Below are 8,427 nucleotides of genomic sequence, written 5' to 3' on the forward strand. Positions count from 1 at the left end.
CCTGTGAGAAATTCCAACAAACACCAGGAAAAAAGATACACTTCCTTGAGCAATATTACTCAACTCAGACTTATGTTTGATTCAGAATGAAAGAATTTTCTTTTCCAATAAATTAAATCATGATAATGGCATCTTTCATGAATTTAAAAATGTGTTAAATAGTATCAGCTATCTAGAACATAGTGAGGCGAACACTAAATCGGCATCCCTTGCAGTTTCCTTGGTTTCAGGAAAATCATTATTTGTGCTCAGCTAACTGGTCCCTTCCAGAGTTTTCATGCTAGACTCAAATCTAAGTATTTATTATAAATATTATAAAATATAAATTATATTATATTTCGTATAATAATATGAAAAGGAAATTAAATGCTTCTCTTTTCTTCAACTCAGTCTCCGCCAAGGCAGGAAGAACTTTTAAAGTGGTGCGTTAGTTTAAGGAGAATCATAAACCATCAGGATTCTTTAATCTGGCTAAAGACAGGCTCTTTGTTTCTAACTTCTGATCACTAGCGCCCTCCTCGGGAAAAAAAAACACGACAGGTTTCTTCCACCAACAGGCTGCTCCCTGTTTCTGGTTCTCATAAAAGAGAAATAGAAGAGCTTTGGAAGCCAGTGGCAACGATAGAGGGGATTGCTAAAAGGGGGTGCTTCTTCCCACCAAGGACACTTTGGACGTATCTATGGATTTATTTGGGTGCGTCCCAAAAATCCATAGCGACAAATCTCTTCTGGAAAATCAAGTCTTTTGGTTAGCAAAGGCATGGGGGAGTGACACCATGGCACAAGGAGAGGGGAGAGAGAAGCTGGCTTTTGCACCCGCAGCTCAGGGCCCCAGACGCATCGCAGAGCCACGGGTGCCCACGAGCAGGGTCAGCTCTCGGGGGCCCTCTTCCGCAGCCCAGACCCGGGACAGGAAGTGAGGGAGCAGGGACAGATCCCGGGGAGGCGCGCGCTCGGTACCCGGAAGGCGGCGGCTTCACGCTCGCGGCTCCGCGGCCAGGTCGGGGTGAAGGGGGCGCGGGAGTCCGCATCGCCGCCGCCCCGGCACAGCAGCCACAGCAGCCACGGCAGCCACGGCAGCGCCCGCACGTCCATTGCGGCGCCCGGCTCCTCTGCCGCCCGCGCGGCCTGTTTTCTCTTTCGGTTCCTCGGCTCCTCCCAGCCTGGGCTCGAGGGGCGGAAGGAGCTGGGTTGAGTGCACGATGCTGAGATTGACCCTTTTTTAGGTCCCCGGTGTTCTGTGACTGAAAATCCGGTCAGCTGGAGGCTACGGACCTCCTTGCTGAGGCTAGTTTTTTTGTTTTTGTTTTTGTTTTGGAAGAGTCAGGCACTTGACCATGTGCTTTCGAGGTTTCACTTCCATCCATTAGAAAAAAAGAAGCCTGAGAGTCATTCTTTTGTGTGTGTTGAGATCAGGTCTCACTGCAGCCTCGACCTTCAGGTTCAAGTGCCTCCTGCCTCAGCCTCCGGAGTACCTGGGACTACAGGCGCGTGCCACCACCCCAGGCTATTTTTGTATTTTTAGTAGAGATAGGATCTTGCCATATTGCCCAGGCCGGTCTCGAACTCCTGGACTCTAGTGATCCACCCGCCTTGGCCTCCCAAAATGCTCACAGGTGTGAGCCACCTGGCCTGCCCTGTGAGCCACCGGAAGCTGCCTTTTTCCTTCTTGCCACAATCCCTAAGTTCAAGACCTAGTTCTGAAGTGATGTGGGCCAATACATAGAGTCATCCATTCAGCAGATGTTTATAAATACGTAACAAAATTGTACAGATGTGAAAAGCATACACAGTTTTTGGATCTATTATGGCAGTTTCAAAACTCTTGAAGCCTGTTTCTCCGTTTGCAAAGGAAGATAGAGCCAAGTACATAATTTGCAGGGTTCCGTGTAAACTGAAAATGAAGTTCCCTTGTTCATAAATTGTGAAGAATTTCAAGACGGCAACAGCAGAGCATTAACCCAAGCCATGGGCCTTCTAAGCACCCACTTCTGCACAGGTCACACACTCATGAACCTGGCTCTACCGAGCCTTTCTATTATCATCTATTCTGAACAAGGCTTCCATGTCTGTGAAATTCATATCATTACCCTTGTAGATTTTTAGAACTAACATCAGATTTATGTCTTTAGTTTTTACCTAGGTGCAGTGAGTTACAATATTCTCCAATGCAAACTTCGTAATAAAAATAAAAATAATGTTCCGAGTATTAAGAGGAAAGACACAAGAGTTTTTTATGTACGTTCATGATAAGATATATTGCTCTTGGCAAGTGTGGTGATAAAGATTTTATTTAAATCATAAGTTCACAGAACGATGTTCATGTTTACCTCAGCAGTTCTTTTGTACTTAGCCCTTTTTTGTGACTCATACAAGCACATACTTTTCTTTTTAAACTGAACTTTGCTTTCAGATCATAGTCCCTGTTTATTGACAACCTACGGAGTCAGGAAATTTAAATATAGGCAGTCATCTTTACTTTAGGATAATTGGTATTGTAAAAAAGCCCCTTGAACTAAACTCATTTCAGGAGCTCACATCAAGTATTTATTGAGTACCTGCTAAGTGTCAGGCATTCTTCTAGGTAATGAGGATATATCAAGTAAGTGGATAAGTGACTAAAGGGATGAAAATCCCCATCCCTATGGGACTGATATTTCAATTGATTTACATCAACAAATATTTTATTGAGTACTTCCTAAGTGTCAGGCATTGTTCTAGGTCATCAGGACACATCATGGATGGAAGTGCATAAGTGACTGAAGAGATGAAAAGCCCCACCCTGTTGAAGCTGGTATTTCAGTGAGGGGGAGAGACGCAATAAAATTACTACAGGTTGAGGATCCCTTATCCACAATGCCTGGGTCTGGAAGTGTTTCAGATTTCAGATTTTTTCCCCCCAGATTTTGGAATATTTGCATATACATAATGAGATCTCTTGGGGATGAGACCCAAGTCTAAACACAAAATTCATTTGTGTTTCACTTATGCTACTGACTGAAGGTAATCTTACTGACTATTTTAGGTAATTTTATGCATAAAACAAGGCTTTGAATGCATTTTGACTATGACCCACCACATGAAGTCAGGTGTGAAATTTTCTAGGTGTGGCATGATGTCAGTACTCAATAAGTTTTAGATTTTGGAGTATTTTGGGTGTTTGGATTAGAGATGCTCAACTTGTACATGTGTTAAAGGACAATAAATCCAGATAAGGAGCATCATCAGTGTGAGGGGTGGTACTGCTATTTTAAATAAGCTGTTCAATACTGTCCTCACTGATGAGGAGAGTTTTGAGCAAAGATTTGAAGGAGAAGAAAGTGAGCCACATGGATATTCAGATATCCAGGGAAAGAGAAGCTAAGACAGAAAGAACTGTCAACACAAAGGCCTTGAGATGGAAGTTTGCTTGGCACGTTCCAGAAACATAAAAGACGTCAGCATGGATGGAGTAAAGGAAAAAAAAAAGGATGGGGGAGAGTAGAATATGAGATAAGTAAGAAGCGCACAGATTGTGAAGAATTTTGGGTCAGTTAAAAGGGAGATCAGAATCATCTATTAAGTAGTAAAACAAAGTTTTTGAAAAGTGGCTTGAAAAGTGAAGGTGGCAAGTATCTGCTAATTCTTAGAATAAACACTACAAATTACATGTATATGTAGAGATGTGTTTTTTTCATCAAATTTGCAAAATAGCACATGGAACTTCCCTCAACTCTGTATTAGATATCTATTGCCATGTAAAATATAACCCTCAAACTTAGCATCTTAAAAATACGAATTTTTCTTATCTTAAACAGTTTCTGTGGACCAGGAGGGAGCAGCTTATCTGGGTGGTTCCAGCTCAGAGTGTCTCATGAGGACGCAGACAAGCTGTTGCATATGGCTGCAATCTTCTGAAGGTTTCCCAAGTTTAAAGGATTCAATTTCAAGCTCATGTGGCTGTTAGCAAGAGTCCTCAGCTCCTCTTAGGCCTTTGGACAAAATCCTCAGAACCTTATCAGAAGGCTGGGCTTTTCCTGCCAGCTCTTTGTTCCTGCAGAATGAGTGAATAGAGAAATTGAGACAGTGGACCAGGGAATGACTGAGGTGGGAGCAGCAGTGTCTTTTTATAACCTTATCTTGAAACATATCATCTCTTCTGCCATTGGTTACACAGAGCCAGTCTGGTAAGATGTGGGAGGTGGAGCTGACATAAGGTGGGGTCATCAGGTGCCATCTTGGAGGCCCGCTACCACAGCCTCATGTTGAATGTTATAAGCCCAGTAACAAATGCAGTCATTTCTTTATGTGTGAAAATACTCCAGAGCTAACCATTTTCACAAATACCTCTTAACCTTTATGATACACAAATCAATATTTACTGTTGTTTTTATCCCGTTATGCACCTTCTGGGTTTTCTTCCATTTTTAATCATGCTACTTCATGTTTCAGTGACTTTGCTACGGAATTATTTTGTTTCTTTGTTTTTTTTTTTTTTACCTTTTTTTTGTTTGTTTGTTTGTTTGTTTTGTTTTGTTTTGAGATGGAGTATCTCTCTTGCTCAGGCTGGAGTGCAGTGGTATGATCTCGGCTCACTGCAACCTCTGCCTCCCGGGTTCAAGTGATTCTTCTGCCTCAGCCTCTCAAGTAGCTGGGACTACAGGTGCACACCACCATGCCCAGCTAATTTTTGTATTTTTAGTAGAGATGAGGTTTCATCATGTTGGCCAGGATGGTCTCAATCTCTTGACCTCGTGATCCACCCGCCTCAGCCTCCCAAAGTGCTGGGGTTACAGGTGTGAGCCACTGTGCCCAGCTGGAGATTTCTTAAAAAGCTGAAAGTAAACTACCATTTGATCCAGCAGTCTCACTACTGAGTACCTACCCAAAGGAAAATAAGTCATAATATGAAAAACACACATGCACACACATGTTTATAGCAGCACAATTTGCAATTGCAAAGATATGGAACCAACCTAAATGCCCATCAACCAATGAGTGGATAAAGAAAATGTGGTATATATACACTGTGGAATACTAGTCAGCCATAAAAAGGAACGAAATAATGTCTTTTGTAGCAACTTGGATGGACTGGAGGCCATTATTCTAAGTGAGGTAACTCAGGATTGGAAAACCAAATATTGTATGTTCTCACTTATAAGTGGGAGCTAAGCTATGAGGATGCAAAGCGGAAGAATGATACAGTGGACTTTGGGGACTCGGCGGGAAGGGTGGGAGGGGGGTGAGGGATAAAATACTACACATTGGGTACAGTGTACATTGTTTAGGTGACAGGTGCACCAAAATCTTAGAACTTATCCATGTAACCTGTACTCCAAACACCATTGAAATTAAAATTAAAATTTTAAAAAGTTGAAGCAACAAATAATGTAACAAAATGCCTATTCAAAATGACAAAGTAAACAATAATGGCTTCTTTCTTCTATCAAGTACATTTGAGGTGATGACGGTCCTGAACCATCTCAGGGAACTAAATATTTAATAGATCACTCTCTTAACCCAATAGTTATTGGAAATTTCCAAAGGAAACTTATCAGTATAGATAATTGATAGAAAAACACACAAACAATTCCACAGAGGACAGGGAAGACTGCATCGTTAAGAGAGTAGAATTACATGCCTCACAGGCTATCGGGGTGAGGTACCTGACAGAGAATGTGTGTCTAGCCTTGCACAAGCCAAGCAAAGTGTGGATCTGCAGGGAGAAGTGGCTGGCCCTCAATGAGCTGAGTGCTGGGCATTAGTCAACTGCTGATTCAGCCACAGATGCTAATCAGAACATCCAGAGAAGAAACCGGGCTGTATACTCCCCAAGAAATATCAGATGTAGAGCCAGGATTGGCATGGACCTCAAGGACACAGGACAGACCTGAGGGTCTATTCCCTGTGCCCCCTCACAATTCCATACATGTCCTTGCACTCACACATCAAACACTGTCTAGAGAGGAACATGGTGGAGAGCTGGAGAGCAGAAATAACAGACTGAAGTCTTTCTACTGCCTTGTGTGGGAGCTGTGAAGACGACGTTAGTTACAAAGTTGTAGTTGGAGTAAGTTTGTGACCACATCACAGAGGAAAAAGCAGAATCTGCGTACACCTAATGTTTGTGCTTCTTGCCATTTATTCAATTCTATTGTTTCTCAGGCTTTTGTTTCCCATTTGCAACTCAGCACTGATGAAAATTTTTCCCTTTACCCTAAAACTGTTAGCCTGAATTCACGCCTGAAAACTGGCAAGAGGACCTACCCTACATTGTAAAGACAACCATGAACCATTCCAACCAGACACCTGCAGAGTCAGCCCCATGAAAAGAGGAACCCCTCCAAGACTATACTAGGGGGTGCCCCAGGAGGGGAAGAAAAATTGGCCAGTCGTCTGGGAATTACAGTGTTAGTGGAGAGTATTGAGTCCCTCATCCTCATCTAAGGAAGAGGCACTCCCTTCTCAATGCTCAGGTTTACTGGCAGCAGGGAAGATTCATGAGAAGGGAATGAAAGATGGTGGGATTATCTGCAAAAAACGGAAAAAAGGGAAGCCTGGTATTCTGATTTGCATTTAGATGCCTGGTTAGGCCACACTGCTGCTTTTCTCCTTATGCCCTCCTGAACAGGGGAAAAGGCGAGATGGAGAGAGGGGAGAGGAATAAGGCAGGGGGCACCCACAACTCTGGCATGGAAAGGAAGTGTGTTTCTCATGAGTCAAGTGGAACCCTCCAGAGGGAGTTTCCACTGCATGAGGGGAAGCCAGTAGCAGTGGGCTCAGGGTGGACTATGAGGGTCTAGGGCTGGAGACTGGACTAGACCCAGGTTTCTCATCTCAGAGAACTGTGCCCCAGGAGCCCAAGGAGGGCGTCCCATGGACCACACACATGTGCTCAAGGACAGGGTCAGCACGGGGGTCTGCCTGGAAGAAGGCTGGACGGCCAGTCAGTGAGAGCTGGAGGGGCAACAATGACCCGGCCTGGGAGCCCTGCAGCTGAGTCCTGTTAAACAGTGATATCTTCCTGCTCCCCACAATCCAGCCTCCTGCTCACTATTATCCAGGGCTCAAAGCTGTCAAGGGCATGGAGGAGATAGGGAAAAAGCAAAACATGTCCCTTTTCTTCGCTCACTTCACAAGCATAGCCAGAGATGGCAGAAGGGAAAGCTTTGAATTAGATATGAGACTGGAATTTTAATATGCACAAGACTGAATTCTAATTTGTTAATTCTAAACAGAAAGATATTCAGAAAGTTCTAATATCTGCCCAAGATGACATTCAAGGATGGGAAAGGGAATTCAAGTGATATGGGCTGAGAGTAGTGACTGAAAAAATAGAAAGCCATTTCATTTTTATAGCCTCAAAAAACTGCTTTCACAATGAATGTGGAATTATGAAGTTAGATCAGAATAATGGAGACGATTTTGTAAGGAAAGCAGAAAGAATGCTGACACTTATTGTACAGACATTAATAGGTAAGTAATTTGCAAGGGGTCTATGTCTATTACCTCATTTAATTCCTACAGTGAACAGTGTATTACTCTCCTCAATTTAACTGAAGCCGAGAGAAATTAAAACTTGCTCAGGGACACAAAGCTAATGAATGATAAATCTGATATTAAATATAGGTAAATACAGTGTCAAAGGCAGTACTTATTCCACTTGTACTCTACTGCCACCAACTGTGGTGGACTGTGAGACATTTTTCATACTAAAACTTCCATTGTGTCTGCTTTAATTATGTCTAATCTAGTATGAAAAGACACTTTATGGTAATAGTATACTTTAGTTGAACCTGTCAATGGTATATGATGATTCTTTGTCAGTTCAAATACTAATTCCCTATTTTAAAACAAAAAGGTACAGTTTTGCCTTTACTGTGAGTTTCCTTTGTTTGGGTGGTGTACTTTGGTGCCATGGAGATGATATTCGCAGACAGATGTTAATGCGTCATTATAAACACTGCCTGTTCTTGCTCTCTCATGAAAATGAAGAGTTCTGTTAGTATTTCATGGAACATCGCCACCTGGATTTGACTCAAACCTTCTCTTTTGACACGTTTTCACTCTGAATGACTAGTTTCCTTTTTGTTTGCTTCTGGTTCAGATTTCGGAGGTCATATTTCAATGTCCATTGTGAAAAGTGAATGGTGGGAGAAGGAGGAGGCAGAATGTAGGTTGGGCAGAGAAGATGGCCTTTTAAAAATGTTTTTATGCTGGAGACTTTTAATAGAACAATTCTGACAGCAAGCATTGAGTGAGTGGTTTATTCAGATATTCCCATCTGAAGAATTCCATGATCCTAAAAACACAGATCAATTTTTCTGATATTTATCTACTCCCTTAGCTTCCCCAAATTTGATAATTGCCCAATTTTGAGAGTGAATATTTGACTCTGTGCTCAATATCTGATTAAGTCTTACTAGTGCATTTGTGTTGAACCTAAGT

General features: G+C 42.5%; 1 protein-coding gene across 1 annotated transcript in view, besides 1 other annotated feature; it reads right to left on the bottom strand.

Annotated features, from left to right (window-relative positions):
• CTSO (cathepsin O) overlaps window positions 1-1,114 on the bottom strand; it is a 29,749-nt gene extending 28,635 nt beyond the window's left edge. Inside the window, exon 1 of the mRNA NM_001334.3 lies at window positions 961-1,114. Within this exon, the coding sequence (NP_001325.1) occupies window positions 961-1,095 (135 nt within the window). The 5' untranslated portion in view covers window positions 1,096-1,114. The remainder of the gene's footprint in view (window positions 1-960) is intronic.
• Window positions 2,225-2,519: an enhancer, noted in NCBI's record as "tiled region #9973; HepG2 Activating DNase matched - State 3:PromF". NCBI's record gives its function as "activates a minimal TATA promoter and a strong SV40 promoter by Sharpr-MPRA in HepG2 cells {active_cell/tissue: HepG2}" and the evidence as "EXISTENCE:reporter gene assay evidence [ECO:0000049][PMID:27701403]".

The sequence above is a fragment of the Homo sapiens genome, chromosome 4 (genome assembly GCF_000001405.40).
Source record: "Homo sapiens chromosome 4, GRCh38.p14 Primary Assembly".
NCBI lineage: Eukaryota > Metazoa > Chordata > Mammalia > Primates > Hominidae > Homo > Homo sapiens.